Source organism: Homo sapiens, chromosome 3 (genome assembly GCF_000001405.40).
Source record: "Homo sapiens chromosome 3, GRCh38.p14 Primary Assembly".
Taxonomy (NCBI): domain Eukaryota; kingdom Metazoa; phylum Chordata; class Mammalia; order Primates; family Hominidae; genus Homo; species Homo sapiens.
In genome coordinates, this window is record NC_000003.12 from 37,283,324 (window position 1) to 37,308,763 (window position 25,440).

Here is a 25,440-nt window from a genome sequence, read left to right on the forward strand (position 1 = left end):
GAGGCACTTGTAGAATCAAGCACCTTTTTCCTTTAAATTTTTTTAACTTTTATTTTTAAATTTCTACCAAAGTTAATAATCGTTATGAATCTTTGTCTGTTACTTCACTAACTTAACCATGGCTTTTAAGTTTGAAGCTGGGGTAGTGGTATAAGTAGTATTTACGTATGCTAGATACTGTGTATTTTATATTTAATTTTTGTTGTTGTTTTTGAGACAGGGTCTCACTTTGTTGCCCAGACTGGAGTGCAGTGGCTCAAACATGGCTCATTGGAGCTTCAACTTCCTGGGCCCAAGCGATCCTTCAGCCTCAGCCCCAGCTCCCTCAAGTAGCTGGGACTACAGGCGCACACCACCACACCCATCTGATTTTTGTATTTTTTCGTAGAGTTGAGGTTTTGCTATGTTGCCCAGCCTGGTCTTGAACTCCTGAAGTCAAGTGATCCTCCCACCTCAGCCTCCCAAAGGGCTGTTCTTATAGGCATGAGCCACTACACCTGTCCTGTGTATTTTATATTTATAATGTCATGTAATATTGTACCATTCCCGTAGATGTTAATTAGCTCAGTTTTGTAGAAGAAGGATTGGAGACTCATAGTAACTTGCTTATGTTGCCTGGTAACTAACTTGCTTATGGTTGGACAGGTTGTAGTTGCAGTGTCTGGATTTGATTTTAGGTCTTTCTGGTTGTTTCTAGTATTCTGTCTCAGAGTCAGGCAGCTTATCGGGATCAAAAGAACTCATAGACTTTGTCTCTACCTCTCTCTGGCATTGTTAGTACCTAGGATGAAATAATGTTGTAAATGACCTCTGATTCTTGGGTTACTCTTCCACACACAACCCCCCTCCACCCCTTTTTTGAGCACAATTTTTCTTTTATTTTTAGTTCAGGGATACATGTTCAGGATGTGCAGGGTTGTTACACTGGTAAATGTGAACACCATTTTTCTTTTTTTTGTGAGACGGAGTCTCACTCTGTAGCCCAGGGTGGAGTTCAGTGGCGTGATCTCGGCTCACTGCAACCTCCGCCTACTGGGTCCTGGGCCAAGCAGTTCTCCTGCCTCACTCTACAGGCATGCGCCACCATGCTCAGCTAATGTTTGCGTTTTTAGTAGAGACAGGGTTTCACCATGTTGGCCAGGCTGGTCTTGAACTCTTGACCTTGTCATCTGCCCACCTTGGCCTCCCAGAGTGCTGAGATTACAGGCGTGAGCCACCACACCCGGCTGTGAACACCATTTTTCTATCTGGTGTTATGATAATAATAAGGGGAGATTCCTGGTCTTAGGCAGAATTTCGTTTTTTATATTCTTTGTTGCTAGACTCACCTTCCATTGCTGCTTTTTTTTTTTTTTTTTGAGATAAGGTCTTACTCCCTCACCCAGGCTGGAGTGCAGTGGCATCATCACGGCTCACCTTGTAGCCTTGAGTTCCCAGGCTTAGGTGATTCTCCCACCTCAATCTCCTGAGTAGCTGGGACCACAGGCACACACCACCACACCTGGCTAATTTTTTGTATTTTTGGTAGACATGGCGTTGCCATTTTGCCCAGGCTGGTCTCCAGCTCCTGGGCTCAAGCAATCCTCCTGTCCTGGCCTCCCAAAGTGCTGGGATTACAGGTGTGAGCCACCATGCCTGGCTGTATTGCTGCCTGTCTTTTGATTCAGGATATCACTAGTGGCATTTGGGACACAGCAGCCTTCTAAGGTAAATGGCAAAGCTCAAATAGGGGATGCTTCCTCTTAAACCTGCAGCTTATCTCTTTAGCACTTCCAAAGTAGGGTCCAAAGAATTCACTGGAGCCATGTACTTAGCCTTCAGATGAGTAACTTTTTTTTTTTTTTTTTTTTAAATTATAATAGAGACAAGGTCTCACTAAATTGCCCAGGCTGGTCTCGAACTCTTGGGCTCAAGTGATCCTTCTACCTCGGCCTCTCAAAATGTTGGGATTACAGGCATGAGCCACTGCACCTGGTCCTAGATGAGTAATGTTATGTAACTTCCAGGCTGAAAAGATTTGTTAATCCATAATTTCATTAGGGTGTGCTAGAATGTTTAAATATCCTGTTTAGGTTAAATGGTTAAATATCTCTTTAAGGACTTGAATTACCAGTTTTCATCTGTTGATTATGAGGTTCTTTGCTCAGATTTTTGCAGAGCTGTAGTCACAGACCCTATAACCAGAAGGAACTTTTAGAAATCAATTACATGATCTCTTATAGTCCAAAGCAGAAAAATTGCCTGGTGAGCTCATTAAAACATAGTTTCCTGTCTCTCCACACCCTTCCCAAGTCTCAAATTCAGTTAGATTGGGGTGGGGCCCAAGAATTTCTGTTTCAAGCAAACTTGCAAGTGATGCTGTTGCTGATTTAGTCTGTAACTATAGTTTGAGTAGCCTCCTGCCTTTAGGCAAGTTGGCTTGAATCCCCACCTGTGAATTAGGTACTGAAATTTAGAGGTGTATCTCTAAGATGAAGTCATATGGAGATTTAACGTCTGTCAAATTTACATTTTATTTTTTAGAAATGTATGTCCTATGTTAGTTTTGACCGTCATGCATCTAATTAGGTTATCCTATTAAGGACTCTTCTAATTTATTTTTTGACTTTCATAAAGAGAATTTTTTAGTGGACTTTAGAATAATTGCATTTATTTAGGAATGACTAATGTTGTTGATGACTATATTTTAGCTTGTTACAGCTTATCAGATGCTTCAGAGAGAGAAGAAAAAGCTACAAGTAAGTGATTTGTCAACTGCATTACTGAGTCATAATTTTTAAATCAGAAAGATCTTATATAGTAAGATATTTCTTTCTTTTTTTTTTTTTTTTTTTTTTTTTTGAGACGGAGTCTCGCTCTGTCGCCCAGGCTGGACTGCGGACTGCAGTGGCGCAATCTCGGCTCACTGCAAGCTCCGCCTCCCGGGTTCACGCCATTCTCCTGCCTCAGCCTCCCGAGTAGCTGGGACTACAGGCGCCCGCCACCGCGCCCGGCTAATTTTTTGTATTTTTAGTAGAGACGGGGTTTCACCTTGTTAGCCAGGATGGTCTCGATCTCCTGACCTCATGATCCACCCGCCTCGGCCTCCCAAAGTGCTGGGATTACAGGCGTGAGCCACCGCGCCCGGCCTATAGTAAGATATTTCTAAGCCTTCCTTTTAAATAATTCTGCATATGAACAAAATATTAAGCTTGTTTTACCATTATTGGAGGTTTTGATAAAGAGAAAGTGAATGAGATCCCAGAGATTTTACCTCTGTTAAGGATGAGCTTCCTTGAGTTACAGATCTCGGTAGTGTTTAAGAAGTTAGGATTTACAGCATGCCTCTCTCAAGCATGTTTTCTAGTGTCTCAGTCTACAGGTTGCTTCCTTGTTTTAGTGGTAAAGACATATCTAACCTTCTATGCTTTCCTTCTGCTTTTTAAATACCTGCAGACATCTGTTTCTTATCATTATATCAGGGTCCAAATGCAAGCATCCTCTCTTCTATAATAACTATTTCCTGTGGCTGCTGCTTGTGAAGCTTTTGATTAAGTATGTAGGGATAAGAAACTATTATATTCAGGGTGACCCACCTTGGCCCCACTATGTCATCCTGTTTGCTTGTGTTTCTATGCATTGGCTATGGAAATTTCCCACTAGGTATTCCAGGTGATAATTCAGAGCTAAGGAGAAATATCCATTCCCTTTCAAATGGTGCCATCAGTTTGCTGTGTTTTAAAATAAAATATAGTTGGCCAGGCGTGGTGGCTCACGCCTGTAATCCCAGCACTTTGGGAGGCCAAGGCGGGTGGATCACCTGAGGTCAGGAGTTCGAGATGAGCCTGGCCAACATGATGAAACCCTGTCTCTACTAAAAATACAAAAATCAGCCGGGTGTGGTGACGGGCACCTGTAATCCCAGCTACTCGGGAGGCTGAGGCAGGAGAATTGCTTGAACCTGGGAGGCAGAGGTTGCATTAAGCCAAGATCGTGCCATTGCACTCCAGCCTGGGTGACAGAGCAAGACTCCGTCTCAAAAAAGAAAAGATAAAATTCAATGCTTTGCTCTCTTTTCTACATGTGTACCTGCCTAGAAACCTTTTAAAATAGGCAAATATCTTTTCAATAGAGCCAATGAAATTAAAATAGTAGGTATTGCCAACACTCTTACCTATGCTGCTTATACTAGCTAACATTTATTGAGCTCCTACTGTGTGCCAGGCATTTTGGTATATTTAGTTCTAGCCTCTTTCCTGTGAAGAAACTGAGGGAGAGTGACTCGTTCATTGTTGCACAGCTTGTAAGAGGTAAGGAGGAGAGCCAGGGTCTTTTTCCTAGCAGTTAGACTGCAGAGCATGTGCTTATAACTACTGCACTACAGTTTTTCATCATTCTCAGCATGGCATGTTCCTGCATTTAAAATTTTATATTTGAAACTGAACAAACAAAACCTGTGTTCATGGCTTTTTTGGGGAAAAGAACTTTGGTTTTTGTTTTATTCACTTACAAGTCCCCACAATACAATCCAGTCATACTCCCTTGGTCATAGGTAAGCCATTTGCCTGTCTGTATCCCCTTGTTTTGCTTGTTAGTCCACACAAACCAGTGAAGCTCCAGATTACCCTATTCCTTTACCTCTGTATTTATGTTGTACAGGAATATGTGGTTACTTTGTTTCCATAGGTCATAACTTACCAAGTTTAATTTCCTTTACTAGAGAAAAGTACCTTCCTTACCCCACCCCAGGAAAGGGTGAGTCATTTCATCTCACAATATTACTCTTTTATTAGCTTCTTGATTTTTTTTTTTTTTTTTTTGAGAAGTCTTGCTTTGTTGCCTAAGCTAGACTGCAGTGGTGCGATCTTGGCTCACTGCAACCTCCACCTCCCGGGTTCAAGCGATTCTCCTGCCTCAGCCTCCTGAGTAGCTGGGACTACAGGCACGCATCACCATGCCCGGCTAATTTTTGAATTTTTTTTTTTTTAAGTAGAGATGGGGTTTCACTATGTTGAACAGGCTGGTCTCAAACTCCTGACCTGGTGATCCGCCTGCCTCGGCCTCCCAAAGTGCTGGGATTACAGGCGTGAGCCACCATGCCCGGCCAGCTTCTTGATTTTTTTTAGTGTATGGTTACTAATTTAGCCATCTGATGTTCTTTGTGAATTTTTCTGGATGGTTTTTTTTTTTTTGAGATGGAGTCTTGCTCTTTCGCCCAGGCTGGAGTGCAGTGGTGCGATCTCGGCTCACTGCAAGCTCTGCCTCCTGGGTTCACGCCATTCTCCTGCCTCAGCCTCCTGAGTAGCTGGGACTACAGGCGCCTGCCACCACGCCTGGCTGATTTTTTTTGTATTTTTAGTAGAGAAGGGGTTTCACCATATTAGCCAGGATGGTCTCGATCTCCTGACCTCGTGATCCACCTGCCTCGGCCTCCCAAAGTGCTGGGATTACAGGTGTGAGCCACTGCGCCCGGCTGGTTTTGTTTTTTTAAATATAGACAATTATTTTGTTTCTAAGCCACAAAAACCTTTAGAACAGGCTGTTAATTGATGTGTTCCACACATTATAAGTTTCAATGAAATAAACTGCAGTTGGAATTTGATTTAATTTTAAAACATTTTATTTTTTAAATTGAACAGACAGTAAAATTGACTTTTTGTTTGGTTTACATGTCCATGCATTTTAACAAATGTATAGATTTTGAACCACTGCCACTGCCAGGATGCAGAACAGTTCTATAACATCATGATCTAACTTAACAGATTTTTCAATATGGTCACATCTTTAACATTTTAGGCTTGTCCTCTATCTTCAGGTTATTTTTGGATAAACGGTTGTAATATTTTAAAAATAATTATTTTTGACTTGCTTTGTATTTACTATGTCATACAGTTAGCTGTTTAACCAGCTTTTTTTTCTCTCTCAATTAAAGGGTATATTAAGTCAGAGTCAGGATAAATCACTTCGGAGAATAGCAGAATTAAGAGAGGTAAGTTTCAGTGATGAGTACTTTGAAAATAGTAATTAAATCTCATATTTATCAGAACTGTTGTATGTGCTAGGGTAGTTTCATATGCATCTCATTAGTTATACTAATAACTAACCAGTCCAGCCTACAAGACCAGGGGTCAGTTCTTGAAGTTTTTATTTGTATGGTTTTTCTAAGATACATTGTTGGAATTAATGAAATGAGGTGTTAGCAACAGAATATCAATTGTCTGCATGAACAGTCAGCGTCAACTTCCAAGGGTTAACTGGGTTCTTCTGTTATGTATTTCAGGCTTCTTTTTGTTTTTCCTAACCCTAAGTCTTTTTTATAAAATAAATTATGTTTACTGTAATTTTGAGGGGGGTGGGTAATTTTTCATAGCACTTAGACTGTTTGAATTCCTTTATGTCTTCCTGAGGGCCATGTGTACCCACTTGCCATCGGAGTAGGCAAGACCACTCCTGGTTTGACCTGCTGTCTCAAATTATTTTGTAATGAGTACCTGTTGACTTTTGGGGTTCTCCTGCTGTCAGGTCCATCTGATACCTTGTCGCTTCCCTCTGCTTTCTCCTATACAGATCCCAACAATTGCATATTTTACTGCTATTGGTGTTTTCTCTCCACTCATTTGTATTGTTTGTTGAAGAATATCTTGTTACCTATTTTTGTTATGAGTGTTCTTCATGGGTTTTTGTTACTTTCTGTTAATTTATTAACAAAACTAGTGTTATTTTGAGAAGTTTGAAATAGGTAGCTTTAGGACAAATCAAAGTAAGTTTAATGTTTTAGGTATTCTAACTGTGTAATTTATCAGTCCAAGATACAGATTTAAAAAGTATAGATAGCCTTAAAAGGGTCAGGTAAATTAATAAATCTATAAATAGTAATTGAGAAAAACTAGTATAATTGTGGGAGGAGGCAAAGAAGAAAAACAAGGGAGTATAGATTAGGATGATATCATCAATATAGCCGTATTGTCCCATAGAATATTCTTTGTTGTTATTGTCAATGACAGACTATTGCGTGAATTAACAATCAGAATTAATCATATAGGAATTTCCTGTATTATATTACTAAAGTTTTATTCTTATTGCTATCATGTTTGATTTCTAGTCTCTCGCAATTTTTTTATATAGCCAAATTACTGAATTTTTGTGGTATGAAAGAAAGATTATATCATTTACCACAATTCCCAAATAAATTCTTTAAAACATTTCTAAACATGACTTTGAAAACCAGGCTAATTTACTTTTGTTATACTGACAAGACCAAGCATTGGCCTCAATAATACAAATAATTACAGATGTCCTTTATTAATGAAAATTTGTACAACTTCTTTTGGATTAATAACGTAGAAAAATGTATACCCACTTTGGAAGTTATAGAGAAGGAACAAAACCTTAACTCCTGGTCTGCCCAAGATTCTGCTTTCCTAGTTGGACTGGGAATGTGTTAGTACTCAGAAAAGTATGCATGGGGATTAGGCGTATGCAACAAAGGGGTTGTAGGAAGTGAGAGAATGATAGCTAGGGTATCCTCTTTTGTTTCTCCTGCCTTATATTAATAGAAAGAAAGTGCTTTTAGCAGCTAAAAGCACCTTTGCTTTTGCTAGAGGGGCAAATAATACGGCATTTCTACCCAAAAGATTTTTCTGTTAAGCTAATATCTTTTTGCTTAACATTTCTTTTTTACTTGTCTTGTGTTTTGGGAATAAATGAAGGGTGTTGATAGGTATCTTGTATTTCTGGTGAGAAATTAAATGCCCATGTTTTATACAGTTAATGATTAGATATACATAGTAATGGAGAGCAGGCATGTTTAAAATTCAGAGAGTGCACATTAGAGGTTAGGCATCAGGTTTTAATGCCTAAAACCTGATGAATCCTCTTTAAAACATTCGCATTATTTAAATATGCATTGAATAAAGACACAGGAATACCTCTTTATAATGTTATTATATCTGGAAACACAGGAATACCTGTTTTTTTTTCCTTCCTATGCTCAGCCCTTCTCCACTAAGAGCCCTTGTCTGAGGGAGTTATACTCAAGAAAATACAGCTGAATGGGAAACACATCTACTTTACTCATAGATGAGTAAGCACCCATGTGATTGCCGGCTGTTAGTAAAGATAGGCCTCCTATCTATCTATTCTCTAATTTAAATTATAGAACCAGCATTCCCTGGCAATATCAAATGGGGAAAGAAAAAGAATTGACTTAGCTAGCAGGCCCCAGCCTTACTCATCTACTCAGTTGCAGCTGTTGAGGGACTTAGAAAACTGTGAGAGAGCTCACTGGCTGAAAAGCATGCCTTGTCATGCTTGTCTGTGGTAAAATGCATTTGTGTTGACCTTTCAAAGAGGGTGGAGCTCTGTGAAAACTCTGGATGCTGCCAATTAGATTTGCAACTCTACCTAAATTTTTTAGGAGCTGGTGAAATGTTGGGGGCAAAGACCAGAGGTAAGGGAATATGGAACTAAAGGGCCTAATTTAACTTTCCTGCCTAAATCCATAATTTTATGCATTAACTTTATCTTCCTCTATTAGGAAATATTAATACTTATCAGAGTCACAGATTGATGAATTTGTTGGTTTTTTTTTTTAATCCACCTACATGTATTAGTTTTCTCTTGCTGCTGCAACAAATTACCACCAACTTAATGGCTTAACACAACACGAATAATTATCTTAGAAGTTTGACACAAGCCTCACTGGGCTAACATGCTGGCAGAATAGTGTATAGGTAGCCGGGAGAGGGAGAAGGGTACATGATTAAAAGATGCTCCCTTGTAACCAAGGACTTTTTGTCTAGATGAGGAAATGAAAACTTGCAAAATCTGAAAACTATAGTATAAATCGAGGAGTGTTTTTTGGTTTGTTTTTTTTGTTTTGGTGGGCTGTTAGGACTGCTATGTAACAGAGTCCAGCATGGAAGGTTGTAGGTTGTAGGAAATTATTTGGAAGAAATGAAGTTTACCTTCCAGTTCCTTCCAGAAGTGGGGGAGAAGGGAGTTGTCATAGGGCCACTAACTGTTGTATTTCGGAATAAAGACATCAGGAATAAGTACCCAGATTCTTTTATTGCCATTATTTCATTAAAGTAGTTGTGGCCGGGCACAGTGGCTCATGCCTACGCCTGTAATCCCAGCACTTTGGGAGGCTGAGGCAGGCAGATCACGAGGTCAAGAGATCGAGACCATCCTGGCCAACATGGTGAAACCCCGTCTCTAGTAAAAATACAAAAATTAGCTGGGTGTGGTGGCACGCACCTGTAGTCCCAGCTACTCGGTAGGCTGAGGCAGGAGAATCACTTGAACCCGGGAGGTGGAGTTTGGCAGTGAGCCTAGATCGCACCACTGCACTTCAGCCTGGTGACAGCGAGACTCCGTCTCAAAAAAAAAAAAGGTTTTAGTACCAAAACAATTAGGAAGGACATATTCCCAGGATAAAGTAACAGCTACTTATATGAAAGGAATTTAGATCTAAGAAAATCTCTCCACATTGGCTTTTGTTTCTTATTTCACGATGGATCTCTGAAAACATTATTTAGGGCATGACCAGCATTTGGAGACCACTGCTGTGGGAATGTAAAGTCAGGAGACATTTGTGAGAGGAAAAGTAAAAAATATGCTCAGAGATGTTGGGGCAATGTGGGTGTTGGGCAGAATAGAGGACACTTATGAGTGTACCAGATAGTGCCTCAGTGTTTTGCTCGGGCAATTCTTAGTGTTTTGAGAATTAATAAGTTTGAAACAATGTAAGAAGAGGGAGTTGCTTATAATTCTTTGAAAATATTGTTTGAGGAAAATTATTCTAGCAAATGTGTGAGGGATGGATAAAATTAGAGGAGGACTTGAGGTAAGAAATCTGTCTAGAAGGCTATTGAAGGAAATTAACTGTCACAAGCTTGTCTAACCTGCAGCCCGTGGCCTGCATGCAGCCCAGGACGGCTTTGAATGTGGCCCAGCACAAATTTTTAAACTTCCTTAAAACATTGTGAGATTTTTCTTGTGATTTTTTTTTTTAAATGCTCATCAGCTATTGTTAATGTATTTTATATGTGGCCCAAGACAATTCTTTTTCTTCCAGTGTGGACTAGGGAAGCTAAAAGATTGGACATCCCTGATCTAAAGTTTGAGAGACCTGGGCTGTGGTTATAGTTGTGGTAAAAGATAGGATCTAAACATTCTAGAAAAAGTAATAAAAAATATTGATTATATGCAGGGATTAACAAAGATAAGTAAAATGTGACTTTGAATATTTTGAGTTTAGGGAACTAGTGAAGTATAGGAATCCCAGAACGATAAAGAGCTGTCTAATACTTCCATGTGCTAACCTCCGGCATTCTAAGGGAGAAACACAGAAGACACAAGATTGAACCCAAGAGGGCTAGAAGGAATCAGTGAAGGACAAAGAGGAAACTGTAATTGACAGGAGTGTAGCCAGGAGCCCTAAAGCCATGGTCAGCAGGTATAGCTGAGAAAAGCTTCCATAGGTCATTTTGTCATTGTGCAAATACCAGAGTGTTCTTTCAGAAACCTAGATGCTATAACCTGCTATATACCTAGGCAATATTGTATTGTTTATTGTTCCTACACTACAAGCCTGTACAGCATGTTACTGTACTGAACTCTGTAGACAGTTGTAACACAATGGTAAGTATTTGCATATCCAAGTCTATCTAAACATAGAAAAAGCCCTGTAAAAATACGTTATTATAATCTTATGAAACCACCGTCATATGTGTGGTCCGTCATCTTCCAGAACATTGTTATGTGATATGTGACTATACCTAAAATGAACGGGTAATTACTGGTGGCTGGTTTTGCAGAGAGACAAAAATCAATGGATTTGGTTAGGAAGGCTCATTAATGACCTAAAGAAAGCAGCATTTTAACTAATTGCAGGAACTAGAAATTTCATTTTACAGATGAGAAAGCGTTTGGTTTCGACTATCAGACACTTTCATATGTTGGGAGGAGGAAGACTACTGGCTATCTGTTTGGTATATAATAATTTGGTGTTAGATCAGATGAATATAATATAACACAAGTAGTAAGAGTCTCAAAGTTTTTCTTTTATCTTAAGTAATTTTTTTTTTTTTTTTTTTGGGAGACCAAGCCTCACTCTATTACCCAGGCTGGAGTGCAGTGGCAAGCCTCAACTCACTGCAACCTCTTCCTCCCGGGTTCAAGTGATTCCCCTGCCTCAGCTTCCCAAGTAGCTGGGACCACAGATGCCTGCCACCACGCCTGGCTCATTTTTGTATATTTAGTAGAGACGGGGTTTCACCATTTGTTGGCCAGGCTGGTCTCGAACTCCTGACCTCAAGTGATCCACCCTCCTCGGCCTCCCACAGTGTGGGATTACAGGTGTGAGCCACCGCACCCGGCCTGTCTTAAGTGATTATTTATTTTCTCCACATTATTATCAGTGCAGCCATCATTACAGCTCTGGAAAGTACACTTTTTTCTTCTTGGATCTTCATATTCTTTAAGGAACAAAATCATTTGTTGATGCAAATGTTTTAAATAATGTTAATGTTTTACATACTAATTATTCTCTAATTATTGTTGCTGATACCTTAAGGGGAATGCAAATCTGTATTCAACATGTTTTTAAATTTTGAAAACTTTGTATTTTTTGTTTTATACTGAAAATTACCTGTAAATCATTTTATGTTTTAGGAGCTCCAAATGGACCAGCAGGCAAAGAAACATCTGCAAGAGGAGTTTGATGCATCTTTAGAGGAGAAAGATCAGTATATCAGTGTTCTCCAAACTCAGGTAAAAGAGTAAAAGAAAAAGTGTGGAATTTTTTGGATAAAGAAAAATAGAGGGGGTTTGATTTGGATATCTGCAAGGTTGCAAAAGTTTTTTCTTTTTTAAGACCTATTTTTAAAACTTTTTGCTTTCCTCAATTTTTTTTATTTTTAATTTTTTTTGAGACAGAGTCTTGCTCTTTCACCCTGGCTATAGTGCAGTGGCGTGATCATAGCTTAACTGCAATCTCAAATTCCTGGGCTCTAGCAATCCTCCAGCCTCTGCCTCCAGAGTGGCTGGGAATACAGGCATATGCCACCACGCCCAGCTAATTTTTAAATTTTTTGTAGAGATGGGGTCTCACTATGTCGCCCAGGCTGGTCTCAAACCCCTGGGCTCAAGCGATCCTTCCGCCTTGGCCTCCCAAAGTGTTGGGATTATAGGCATGAGCCACCACTCCTAGCTCTTCAGTTAATGTTAAGGATACTTTTTTATTTATTGTATCTTTTGACTAACTGCATAATAATAATAGCAAATATAAAAACCAGCTGTATTGGGAGTAAACTTTTTATTTTGATTATTTTCCCCCACTTTAGTAAGAAGAATATCATTTAATCCGTCCTCTCTCTGTTTTAAATAAAGTACAATAAGCCATCCACATTGATGTGTTTTTGTATGTGTGGATTCAACCAACTGGATCAGAAATATTTAGGGGGTGAAAACCATGTGTAGTGAACATGTAGACTTTTTTTCTTCTCATTATTTTCTAAAATATATGTAGTACAACAACTACTTGCATAGCATTTTCATTATTTAGGTAGTTTATGTAATCTAGGGATGATTTAAATTATACTGGAGGATGTGTGTAGGCTATATGCAAATACTACACCATTTTATATAATGGACTTGAGCTCCTGCGGATTTTGGTATTAACAGGGAATCCTGGAACCAATCCCCCACAGATACCAAGGGACAATTGTACTACTCCCATAGTTTTTTTTGACTTTTTTCTAATGAAGCACATTTATATTAGGTTTCTCTACTGAAACAACGATTACGAAATGGCCCGATGAATGTTGATGTACTGAAACCACTTCCTCAGCTGGAACCACAGGCTGAAGTCTTCACTAAAGAAGAGAATCCAGAAAGTGATGGAGAGCCAGTAGGTAAGCTTCATTTTGTCAAAAGGTTAATTTAAAAACTAGAGGAGAGCCAGGCTCCTTGGCTTACACCTTTAATCCCAACACTTTGGGAGGCCAGTGTGGGAGGATCGCTTGAGTTCAGGAGTTTGAGACCAGCCTGGGCAACATAGAGAAAACCCTTCTCCACAAGAAAAACAAAAACAAAAATGAAACCCCAAGAAAACCTAGAGGAGGATTTTGAGAGATTCCAGGATGTGAGCTGATAGATATGGGCTGAGGTAGAAGTGTCCGTGGTCCTAATAGTTTCAGAAAGATGCAAGGGTTTGTTTTGTTTTTTTGGTTCTTTGTTGTTATTTAGGAGAAAATAAGTGTTTTTTGTTTGCTTGTTAGTTTGAGATGGTGTCTCACTCTATTGCCTAGGCTGGAGTGCAGTAGCATGATCTCGGCTCACTGCAACCTCCATCTCCTGGGTTCAAGCGATTCTCCTGCCTCAGCCTCCCGAGTAGCTGGGATTACAGGCACACACCACCATGCCCGGCTAATTTTTGTATTTTCAGTAGAGACGGGCTTTCACTATGTTGGCCAGGCTGGTCTCGAACTCCTAATCTCAAGTAATCTACCTGCCTCAGCCTCCCAAAGTATTGGGATTACAGGTGTGAGTCACTGTGCCCAACCAAAAAAGTTGTTTTAATATGCAAAAATTTCATAGTCTGTAACACCACATTTTCATTGTAATTGAAATTCATTTATTATGCTACACTGTTTTATTAATAGCAGTAGCTAGATTTCATATGAACAGGTCAGTTCTGCTTACATGCTAATAAGTGGGCTATTTGTAATTGTTTGGATATTTTAGTTTTTAAATATTGCTTAAATAGTTCTATATTCATAGATATTTGTATTTGTCCTATTAATTGCTTTTTAACTGGAAAAAGAAGAAATAGCTATATTTTGTCTTAAAATTCAGTTACAGCCTTCTTTGCTTTGAGGCTTGAGGTATATACGCAATAAAATTCCCGTCTTTTATTTCCTAGCTTTTTCTTTCAAAGGGACTTATGATAAACTTGGAGTAAGTAGTTGAGCAGTTAACTATCTGAGCAACCAGACTATGGTGGGGTGGTGGGGCGGCGGGGCCAGTCCCGAAATTCCCAGACATGTGGAAACTTCAGACTCATAAATGTAAAGAGATGGAGAAAGTTGCACTTACCAGAACTCCTCTCAGAAAGAGATTAGAATGTGGTTGGAAAGAATACCGTACTTTATTAATCCTTTTGGGAGGTGAGCTAAGACACATAATTTTGAATAACAAAAGATGATTATCAAACTGTCATTTTAAGGAGGGTGGATTCAGTTAATGTTAGTTAACTACTGTGCCATTCTGAATGGGGTTGAACCTCAAAGAGGTGAATTACTACTAAGCTTCTTCAGATAAAGATTAAACAACTAATACTAAGTAGAGGTTTGGAAGGGTGCCAGTTTATTAGCTGACTAGGGTTGTCCCTTCTTCATCTAAGAGTATAGCAGAATATTGGTGTAAGAATACACTCCTGGTGGGGCGTGGTGGCTCTCACCTGTAATCCCAACACTTTGGGAGGCTGAAGCAGGCGGATTGCCTGAGGTCAGGAGTTCGAGACTAGTCTGGCCAACATGGTGAAACCCCACCTCTACTAAAAATACAAACAAGTTAGCGAGACGTGGTGGTGTGCGCCTGTAATCCCAGCTACTTGGGAGGTTGAGGCAGGGGAATTGCTTGAACCAGGGAGGTGGAGGTTGCAGTGAGCCGAGATCATGCCACTGCACTCCAGTCTGGGCGGCAAAGCGAGGCTCCGTCTCAAAAAAAAAAAGAGGGAATACACACCTGTGTAGTAACAGACTGTTCCTGGAAGTGTCCTTATATTTGTAACCGCCCAAAGGGTTCACCTTGCCCACTGCCTAGACAGAGCTGATTTATCAAGATAGGGGAATTGCAGTAGAGAAAGAGTAATTCACGCAGAGCCGAGTGTGCACGTGACCAGAGTTTTATTTTACTCAAATCAGTCTCGCCAAGCATTCACGGATCCGAGTTTTTAAGAACAATTTAGTGGGTGGGAGGAAGCCAGTGAGCCAGGAGTGCTGATTGGTCAGGTCAGAGATGATATCATAGGGAATCAAAGCTGTCTTCTTGTGCTGAGTCACTTCCTGGGTGGGAGCCACAAGATCAGATGAGCCAATTTATCGATCTGGGTGTTGCCAGCTGATCCATCAAGTGCAGGGTCTGCAAAATATCTCAAGCAGTGATATTAGGAGCAGTTTAGTGGTGGTCAGAATCTTGTAGCCTTCAGCTGCATGACTCCTAAATGATAATTTCTAATCTTTTGGCTAATTTGTTAGTCCTACAAAGGCAATCTAGTCTCCAGGCAAGAAGGGGGTTTGTTTGGGAAATGGCTTTTATTGTCTTTGTTTTAGACTATAAACTATAAACTAAGTTCTCCCAAAGTTAGTTCAGCCTACACCCAGGAACGAACAATGACAGCTTAAAGGTTAGAACCAAGATGGAGTCGGTTAGATTAGATCTCTTTGACTGTCTCAGTCATAATTTTCCAAAGGCAGTTTCATATTCCTTACTGATGGGCCCTTCTTATGTTGCTTTATTGTTAGTGGAAGATGGAACTTCTGTAAAAACACTGGAAACACTCCAGCAAAGAGTGAAGCGTCAAGAGAACCTACTTAAGCGTTGTAAGGAAACAATTCAGTCACATAAGGAACAATGTACACTATTAACTAGTGAAAAAGAAGCTCTGCAAGAACAACTGGATGAAAGACTTCAAGAACTAGAAAAGATAAAGGTAAAAGAGCAGATGAGTTTTGTTCTAATTTAATCTATAAAGTTAGATCCACAGGCTCCACAGCATGGCTTGTACCTCCGGGAGAGGAGAGTGGATGGAAAGGGCATTTTTGTTTGCCCTGGCCTACATAACACCAAACCTTGAGACTTACTGTGTACTTTTTTCCTTCTGCACTGTAACATGTATATAAATTAGATAAATGTTTAGAGTTCTCAAATGAGAAGAAGCTTTATTAGAGATGGAAATGAATTTAAAAATTTTTTTTAGGACCTTCATATGGCCGAGAAGACTAAACTTATCACTCAGTTGCGTGATGCAAAGAACTTAATTGAACAGCTTGAACAAGATAAGGTAAAACAACAAAACCTATGATACTAAAATTTGTCAAGAGGCCCCAACATTTACTTTTGGAAACAGTTGGAAACATTCATGCTTGTTTCTGTTTTCTAAAAATTATTGCAGCTTTTTCCATGAAAAATCTTTAATTTCTAGATTTTTGTAACTACTAGCATTAGTTTTGTGTCATGTAAAACTGATTCTCTGATTTCTTGATCCCAGTCAGCATTATGATTTGTAGACTAGAATAACTGTTGCAAAGGAAGTTTATATTTATAGTACATAACTACTTTACAGAGAAAAGTTATTTATAGTTAAGGCATTATAAATGTGAATGATATCAGTATGTTCTTTCAGATAATATGGAAACAGATTAATCTCTCAGATAAGTTGCCTAACAAATAAATAAGGGGCTGGGCACAGTGGCTCATGCCTTTAATCTCAGCACTTTGGGAGGCTGAGGCGGGAGGATTGCTTGAAGCCAGAAGTTCAAGATCAACCTGGGCAGTAAAGCAAGACCTCCTCTCTACAAAAAAAAAAAAAAATTAGCTGGGTATGTTGGTATATGCCTGTGGTCCCAGCTACTCGGGAGGCTGAGGCAGGAGGATTGCTTGAGCCCAGGAGTTAGAGGCTACAGTGAGCTATGGTCACACTAGTGTACTGCAGCCTGGGTGACAGGGTGAGACCCTGTCTCTTAAAAAAACAACAAACAAAAATAAGTGATAATGTATATATTAGCATAAATAAAAATGTCTACAAATGAATTTTAGAATGTGTAGATGAGATTAGAGGATTGAGGAAGGAATGAGTCTTACCTTTGGTAGTTTGGAGTTGGAGCAGCAGCTAAAGCTACGCAGCAAAGACAACCAGAAAATTCATGGGTAAACAGTTTTGACCTGTCTTTCAGCTCCAAGTTCTTGGGTCCTTTTTCTAAGCAGCTCCCAGTTTGTTCCATAGCATCCACCATTTTCTTTAATATGCCGGGTTATCACTAGAGTATTTTAAGTGGTCACGTAATTAAGAACATGTCAGAGCTGTCCTGCTGTTAAAATGTATTGGCAATCTTTTTCATCCTTTTGATAATACTGCTTTGCTAGATTATACACTTCTTGAGGGCCTACTTAAATTGTTTTTTTTTTTAAATATTATAATGAAGAACTTAAAACATTTACAAAAGAAAAGCTGCTAAAATGAATTTCTTTGAACCCACCACCCCGCTTCAACAGTTAACATCTCATGACTAATCTTGTTTCATCTGTACCTTCTCAACTGTCATTGTCCTACTCACCCAGAATTGTTTTAGAGCAAATCCAAGAAATTTTATCATTTTTTTCCAAAAGTATTTTAATATATCTTTAAAATAAAAGACATTATTTTTACAATACTATAACCACATTATCATGATCACATCTAAAAATTTAATAATTTTAAAATATGACCTGCTATCTAGTCAGTTTCAGATTTTCTCTAGTTTCTCATATATTTTTTGCTCTTTTATGAATCAGGGTCCAAATAAAGTTTTTTCATTGCAATTGGTTGATATGACTCTTAAGATTTCTTTTAATTTACTGGTTTGATTATCTTCTCTCCTTCTCTTTCCACTATATTTTGGTTTTTGAAGAAACTGAAAGCCCATGATTTTGTTTTGAGATTTCATATAGCAGTGCCTCACTTACGTGGTTGTTATCTCTCTGTCTCTCCATTAATATTAGCCATCTGGAAGAGTCATATTCTAAAGCAAGGGTTGGCAAACCCTGTGGAGAGGGTGCTAATCTTAAGACCATGAAATTGTTGTCACAAAGTCTGAACATTTTTTCAAGAGACAAGTGAACCACCTCATTTTTTGTTAGTCCTAAATGACTTTTTTACTGTATACCATTTAGTTGTCTTTTTCCCCTGCCGACCTCCATTTCTAGTGTAGATTATCCAGAAAGAGGGAACAGAAGTAACTAGCAAGTTGGAGGAATGGAGATGCCTTACAAAGTAAGGAATAGTGGTGGTACCAGAGACAGTCACAGGAAGAAAGAGAAGAACCAGGTAGATGTGTCCTGGGATTTTGCTTTATCCAGTGTGGCAGCAGGCACCTTCCATTCTCAAGTGTCTGGGGTTATCCCCATGTTATAGTACAGATCAATACTTGTAGTTTATTGTAGTGCCAAGCCAGGTTCAGAAGACTATATTTTGTTCATTATAAACTGTTTACTAAGACAGATAGCACATTTGTAGAAAGGCTATAAAATAAATCTTTTAAGTAATAATGTTTTAATGCTTTAAGGATTAAACTATTAAAATTTTTAATGTAAAAAATACTGTTATGCTAGGTAATAGGATTAGAGCAGAAAACAGACCTCAGTTTGTGAAGTATTGAAATAATTGTTATGCTGTACTTAGCAAGAAATATCATTTTTTCTGCCTTTTATTTTTTGTTTTTTAATTTTTAATTTTTTTTTGAGACGGAGTCTCACTCTGTCACCCAGGCTGGAGTGCAATGGCGTGATCTCAGCTCACTTCAACCTCTGCCCCCTGGGTTCAAGCAATTCTCCTGCCTCAGCCTCCTGAGTAGCTGGGATTACAGGCATATACCACCATGCCTGGCTAATTTTTGTATTTTTAGTAGAGACAGGGTTTCGCCATGTTGGCCAGGCTGGTCTCGAACTCCTGATCTCAGGTGATCCACCCTCCTTGGCCTCCCAAAGTGCTGGGATTATGGACATGAGTCACCATGCACCATGCCCGGCCTTTTTCTGCCTTTTAAATTAAGTTTTATCTGTGCTGTTGATGATGCAGTTTTGTTATGCAAATGTTTTAGAGTCTTCACTTCTATTCAGGGAATGGTAATCGCAGAGACAAAACGTCAGATGCATGAAACCCTGGAAATGAAAGAAGAAGAAATTGCTCAACTCCGTAGTCGCATCAAACAGATGACTACCCAGGGAGAGGAATTACGGGAACAGAAAGAAAAGTCCGAAAGAGCTGGTAAGAACTTGAGGGTTACTTGTTTTATGTTGGAACTCAAAAGTTATTTAAAGTGCTTGACCAGTATTTTTAAAAATGAGTTAAATATTGATAAAAATTCTTAACTATAGAGGCTCCTAATAAGACACCCATCTGCTCATTAGAGGAGGCAGAGGTTGGCAAACTGTGGCCTGTGGGCCAGATCCAGCCCACAGCCTATTTATGTACAGCCCTTAGGCTAAGGATGATTTTTACATTTTTAAATACTTGAACAAAAGAAAAATATATGACAGAGACCATATGTGGTCTACAAAACCTAAAATATTTATCATCTGGCCCCTTACAGAAAATGTGTGCTGACAGAGTATCAAAATTCAGATTTAAAATTGTAGAACTTCCCAGTAGGTACAGCATGGTACTTATTAAATAATTGCTACCTTATAGATGCTTTAGGGTAAACAAAAAGTCTAAGTTATAGTCTGCTTTTAAAGAGAATAATGAACACTTCAGTGTTAATAGCATGTTTTGACACAATAAATGCTGGGCTATAAAGTATAGAAACCAGCATAGTATTCAACAAGGTACAAAATCGACTAAAGCTAGGAAAGGAGGGATGTTTGAAAGAGGAGAGAGCAGGATGAACTGTGCCTTCACATCAGTGAAGATGTGAGTTTTGAATTGGACCTCAAATAATCAATAGAATGGGCCTAACAAGAGAGGTGTGGGCAGCACACATTTCAGATGCTACAATGCCGTAAACAGGCACAGTGATCATAGTGGGTGTGTGAATCAGCTGAAAACCATTCTTGCTGAAGTGGGAAATGCAGTTGGATTGTAAAGGAACTGACTATTGAAATCTTAAAAGGTAGGTAGCTGAGTTTAGACTTTGATATACAGAGTAACAGGAAACCAGTAATAGGAAGGCATAATGTGATGGGAGCTAGGGTTTTATGTAGAAAAGAAATGAAATAGGAAGTCAAACTTAGAAGCAAAGACAGAAATCCAGTTTGAGGGACTGTGAGCTTTAGCCGCCTTGCTAGGATGGTGGTTCTGGGAAGGAGAAGAAAGGTAGAATCTGTAGAATTTGGTATCTGATCAACTCAGGGAGGCAGAAGAAAAGTAAGGACTCTAAATTGACTCCAAAGTTTTAAGCTTAGGACACTTAATGAATAGTAGTGTGGAATTAGAATAGGAAATCTAAATGGGGAAGTTGAGAATTGGAGTGAAATGATGGGTTTTTTAGATACACTGAATTTGACCCAGTCATGAGCTTTTCAAATGGAATTGAGTTGCAGGAATTTGGAAATAAGAAATTGGAACATCTTTCAGGAGTCATCAGCCTAGGATCGAAGCCTGTGGTTAAATCTGTAGGAGAGGCGGATTTCTACAAAAGATTAAGTTTTACAGTAGTAGTAATAGTCATAGTGGTAACAGCAGCAGCTGCTTCTGCTGACGCTTATTTAGCACTTGTTGCTGCTACTACTACTGCTGCTACTATTGTTAATACTACTGCTAGCCATTACTTACTTTAGTAATGCTCTGCTCTAAGGGCTTTGCTTGTATTTACTTGTATTGCATCCTCACAAGTGTATGAAATAATACTATTATCTTCATTTTACAAATAAGCAAACCTAAGAACATAGAAGTTAAGTAATTTACCTACATTTATGCACAGAGAATAAGTATATACTCAAGATTTAATCCAGGCATTGTGACTCAGAGTCTGTGCTCTTAACCATATAGAGGTCTTGAGTTTGGCAATGAGACATAAATGAGAAAAAAAAAGTTACCTCATGAAGTCATAGGAATTGTGGATAGTTTTTTGGGGGAATATAAGATATGTTTCAAGAAATGGAGAAGGTAAGATGAAGACTTTGAAAAGGTCCTTGAATTTGGCAAGGATTTGATTTGGAGGATGCAGTTTTGAGAAATGATTTTATAAACCAGATTTTAAGGTGTTAAGGAGGGGACTGGGTCTCTAGACAGAGAAATAGTTGACTATTTCATAAGTATCTCCCCATCTTCTTGGACTTATTTTATGGATAAAGTGACTGGGGAATTTAGTTAATGAATTTGTTCTCATCAAACCTAAGAAAACTTCCCTTTAGAGAGAGTAGATGGCATCTTTCAGAATATAATCTTTGAAGACTGACTTGAAGCAGTTTGAGTGTTGTAAGACATTGGTTCAACAGGTTTGCTTTCAGTGAACAGAAAATCTAATGCATAGCCTCAGCTTCTCATATCAAGCCTTTCCATTTTTAGAACTGCTTTCTGTTGACTGTTGTAGCCAGTAGAGAGAAAATGTTGGTCAGGGGATTACATTTCTTTTAAAATTCAGTGTACTTAATGAGGAGATAGAAACTGATTAATAAATATCAAGTTGAAAAGGGTAAATGATGAAAAGGTAGACAAAATATATAGTTCATTTACATGCGGATAAAATTTTCTGGTATATGTTCCAGTTAAACCTTTAGTAGAACAGCTTTCCTTCCCTTGCTTGCTTCTCCAAAACACAGGTATATTTTGTCTTTCAGTGTGATTTTCATAAACCATATTTTTTTAATATTTGATAGCGTAAAGGTTTAAAATTTTTTCTATTAATACTGTCAAAAATAAAAAATAAATACTAAAAGAATTAAGATTTAAATTATTATTACTTTTTTTGGGCACAATCTCGGCTCACTGCAACCTCCGCCTCCTGGGTCCAAGTGATTCTCGTGCCTCAGGCTCCTGAGTAGCTGGGTTTACAGATGTGTGCCACCACACTTGGCTAATTTTTGTATTTTTAATAGAGACCGGGTTTCACTGTGTTGGCCAGGCTGGTCTCGAACTCCCAACCTCAGGTAATCCACCCTCCTTGGCCTTTCAAAGTGCTGGGATGACAGGTGTGAGCCACTGCGCCCTGCCAGATTTAAATTATTAATGGATACATTTATTTTGGAAAGTCTTTAGATAACAAAGTTGTAAGTGCTTTTATAGATTTCTTAAAAATTATATTTGTAGTCATAATAATTGAGGGCTATGATGCAAAGTTGTAACAAACTGTCTCTACATTGAAGATAATGCCTTTTACATCTATAATGAAAGCTAGTTTTGCACACAAACTGTATTTCATTTAATAGTCTTAGTTGAGTCTAAACAGAACTGTTCAAGTAGGAAGTGATTCTTAGTTCAAATGTAAAGGTATATGCCAATTGAAAGAAAACTTCCAATTAAGTACTAAACATAAGAAAAGGTCAATGTAAAGGAAGTAGGATTTCTATAAATAGTCTGGCTATTGGAAAATTCAATTGCTCTATTAAATATTTGTTTTATTCTTTGTTAGATTTAAAATTCAAAGGCTAAATATAAGAACTGGCCATGTGAAGGAAACATTAATATCATTACAGCTTGCTATTAGGATTTTAGAAGTAGATATGTCTACATAAAACTCTTATCTAGAAAATAAACTCTCCAAATGCATTTTCAACTGTGAAGAAATTTAATTCTGATATTGCTGGTAATTCTTGATGTGAATATTAGTAGACAAATCACTAATTCCTTTGGCTCACTTATTCTGGATGTCAAAATCAGCTCAAGAACGTTCCCCACTACTTTTCTTGGGAAACAGTCTCTTAAGCTGCTCCTCATATTTTTTTCTAGATGAATTGTGGTGCCTTTCATATGTTGGAGGACAGAGGAAATCTGAATGTCTTTGATTTTAAACAGAATGATTGTTTATTTTCTTTGTTTTATTTTTCTGTTTTTGCATGCTGGCATAAAAAGAATAATTCTGTTATAAAATACTGAGACTGTGAATACAGTGGTGTACCGATTTCAGGATGGTGTATCAACCTGCAGTTCTTAAATAGTCTCCTCTCTAGTAGAAATGTTAGGCATAGTTTTTGACGTATGAGAGCATAGCATTCTTGTTTTGTTAAAAATATGTATTTTAGTGGATAAAGAAAACAAAAAATAAGTTTATTGGTTATAAGCGCTTCTGTAATTGTTGATAGTGTTTCTTTCTAGTTGTTACTTAAGAACAGATGGTCATATCTTCTATTAACCAGATTTTAAACTTGGAAAAGTTTGGTGGTTCAGCTTAAGTACATAATGCTGTATTTTAACTCTCCAGGAAATTATATCCTCAGTGTAGCACCAGTGTAGAATGTTAATGCTACCGAAGTTCACACTAGTTCTTGGCTGTTCTCTGTGTGTGTGTGTGTGTGTGTGTGTGTGTGTGTGTGTGTGTGTATCAGGATAGGAGATAGGGGTAGCTAATTATTAATGCAGTGTATTACCAAAAAATTGGAAAATAGAGAAAATCACATCACTGTTGTTTTAGTAAATTTCCATTTAGTGTTTTCTCTAATTTTTTTTAATTATTGTAATAATACGGCACATTCAATTTTGTATGTTCTTCTCCCCCATTTAGCATTATGTTATTGACACTTTTACGTGTTGCTAAAGTTAATATATTTTAATGGCTGTGTCAAAGTGCATGTACATCATTTACTTGGTTATCATTTCCTTATTGTTTATCATCTAGATTATTATATATTTTTGTTATACTATTGTGACAATTTTGAGATATAGCTTATTAGATCTTTGAATTTTATCTTAGGATAAATTCTTAACCATAGACTTTTAGTCTTTTTTGTTAGCTACTTTTAAGTGATTTAAATATATATAGCCATTAAAAAAGTAACCCATGCCACAATGTTAATCCTCCCTCCCATTAAAATGTTTTTTCCTACAATTATGCAACATGAATAAAGTATTTTGCTTAGATTAGGGAAGTTTCTAGAGTATAGTAACTTTTGTAAACCCCGTTTCCCTTTCATGTACCTTGTCTTTGCTGAAGTTACTTGTTTTATATGATTGGTGGCATTTAAAAACTTGGACTAACTCATAACATTCTTTGCTTTTTTATTGTCATGTTGTGTTTGTGCAGGAAATATGTTTTTTATTCATTTGTATAGTATAGGTCTGATACACCAAAAGAAATTCATTAGAACATATTTATTTGATGTTTGAAGGACTCTTTAAAATAGTTTATCTGTTTAAATAATGTGTAAGATTTATGCATTTTTATATAACAAACCAAAATCACATGTGTATTTAACTGCTTTGTTAGTTGCTGATAATTTATGTAACAAAATTTTCTTGGAGTCTTAAGTCTCACAAAACATCTTATTTTTGTGCATCCACACATGCCAATAAGTGAATCATGGTGCCTTTCCCAAGCCTTGTATGAACAGGACTGGGGTAAGGGCTATTTTTTTTCTTATCATGGGTACTTAGAATAAGCTTTACAAAGAAAATTCCATGTTTCTCAGGCAAAAAAAAAAAAGTATGAATGAAAGTAGATTTTAAGTATGCCATGTTAGATAAATAATACGTACGTATTTTGGCACTAAATGAATAACTGCTGGAAAAATTTATTTTAAGTGGCTTTTAAAATGCAATTATTTATGTCTCCAACAATGTCACTATTACTTGAAACCATCAGTAATTTAAAAACACGTTTCTTTGGTGCGGGATTATATTTCTAATTTAATCAATGTACTTAGCTTTAGCTTAATATTTTTCAACATTAGCCTGATGTTTTCAAGGTATTTGATAGATAAATATGTATGTAAAGTGTACATGAAAATTTGGGGCTGGGCGCGGTGGCTCACGCCCGAAATCCCAGCACTTTGGGAGACTGAGGCGGGTGGATTACCTGAGGTCAGGAGTTCAAGACCAGCCTGGCCAACATGGTAAACCCCATCTCTACTAAAAATATAAAAATTAGCCGGGCATGGTGGCGTGTGCCTGTAATCCCAGCTACTCTGGAGGCTGAGGCAGGAGAATCACTTGAACCTGGGAGGCAGAGGTTGCAGTGAGCCGAGATCCTGCCATTGCACTCCAGCCTGGGCGACAAGAACGAAACTCTGTCTCAAAAAAAAAAAACGAACAAAAAGAAAAAGAAAATTCGGATAAATTGGTAAATTTTTTGAAAGTCAAAGCATAGTCAGTTTATAGAATGAATCTTGTTATATATTTTGTAGTATGGCTTAAAATGTAGTTTTCCATTGCAAAAGTGATATTTATTAAATCTCTGTGAAGGCCCTAATTTATAGATAAGCATTGCACTATCTAATTTATGCCACCGGGTGGTAGTATTTTATTTTCATTTATGTAAGCTCTAGACTAGTAGCTTTCAGACTTTTTGATCTCAGGGACCTCTTAACACTCTTAAAACTTATTGGTGATTCCAAAGAGCTTTATTTATGTGGGTTATATGTATTGATATTTACTGTATTAATAATTAAAAGTAAATATATATATATATTTTTTTGAGACAGAGTCTCACTCTGTCGCCCAGGCTGGAGTGCAGTGGTGTGATCTCGGCTCACTGCAACGTCCGCCTCCTGGGTTCAAGCAATTCTCCTGCCTCAGCCTGCCAAGTAGCTGGGACTACAGGCGTG

General features: G+C 38.0%; 1 protein-coding gene across 22 annotated transcripts in view, besides 2 other annotated features; it reads left to right on the forward strand.

Annotated features, from left to right (window-relative positions):
- GOLGA4 (golgin A4) overlaps positions 1-25,440 on the forward strand; it is a 123,609-nt gene that overhangs the window by 40,053 nt on the left and 58,116 nt on the right. For 13 of the 22 annotated variants that reach the window (XM_047447981.1, XM_047447980.1, XM_024453457.2 and 10 more), the window contains 7 exons: positions 2,691-2,738; positions 5,912-5,968; positions 11,656-11,754; positions 12,764-12,896; positions 15,510-15,697; positions 15,965-16,048; positions 18,862-19,009. In XM_047447981.1, coding sequence (XP_047303937.1) covers positions 2,691-2,738; positions 5,912-5,968; positions 11,656-11,754; positions 12,764-12,896; positions 15,510-15,697; positions 15,965-16,048; positions 18,862-19,009 — 757 coding nt within the window. The remainder of the gene's footprint in view (positions 1-2,690; positions 2,739-5,911; positions 5,969-11,655; positions 11,755-12,763; positions 12,897-15,509; positions 15,698-15,964; positions 16,049-18,861; positions 19,010-25,440) is intronic. The other 9 variants (XM_005265072.4, NM_001429190.1, NM_001429196.1 and 6 more) reach the window with 2 other exon arrangements.
- Positions 14,843-16,042: an enhancer, noted in NCBI's record as "BRD4-independent group 4 enhancer chr3:37339657-37340856 (GRCh37/hg19 assembly coordinates)". NCBI's record gives its function as "activates an origin of replication core promoter dependent on BRD2, P300/CBP, MED14 and CDK7 cofactors, and independent of BRD4, by STARR-seq in HCT116 cells {active_cell/tissue: HCT116}" and the evidence as "EXISTENCE:reporter gene assay evidence [ECO:0000049][PMID:35650434]".
- Positions 18,557-19,218: an enhancer, noted in NCBI's record as "OCT4-NANOG hESC enhancer chr3:37343371-37344032 (GRCh37/hg19 assembly coordinates)". NCBI's record gives its function as "activates a minimal SCP1, AML or CMV promoter by ChIP-STARR-seq in naive and primed H9 embryonic stem cells {active_cell/tissue: H9 hESC(naive and primed)}" and the evidence as "EXISTENCE:reporter gene assay evidence [ECO:0000049][PMID:30033119]".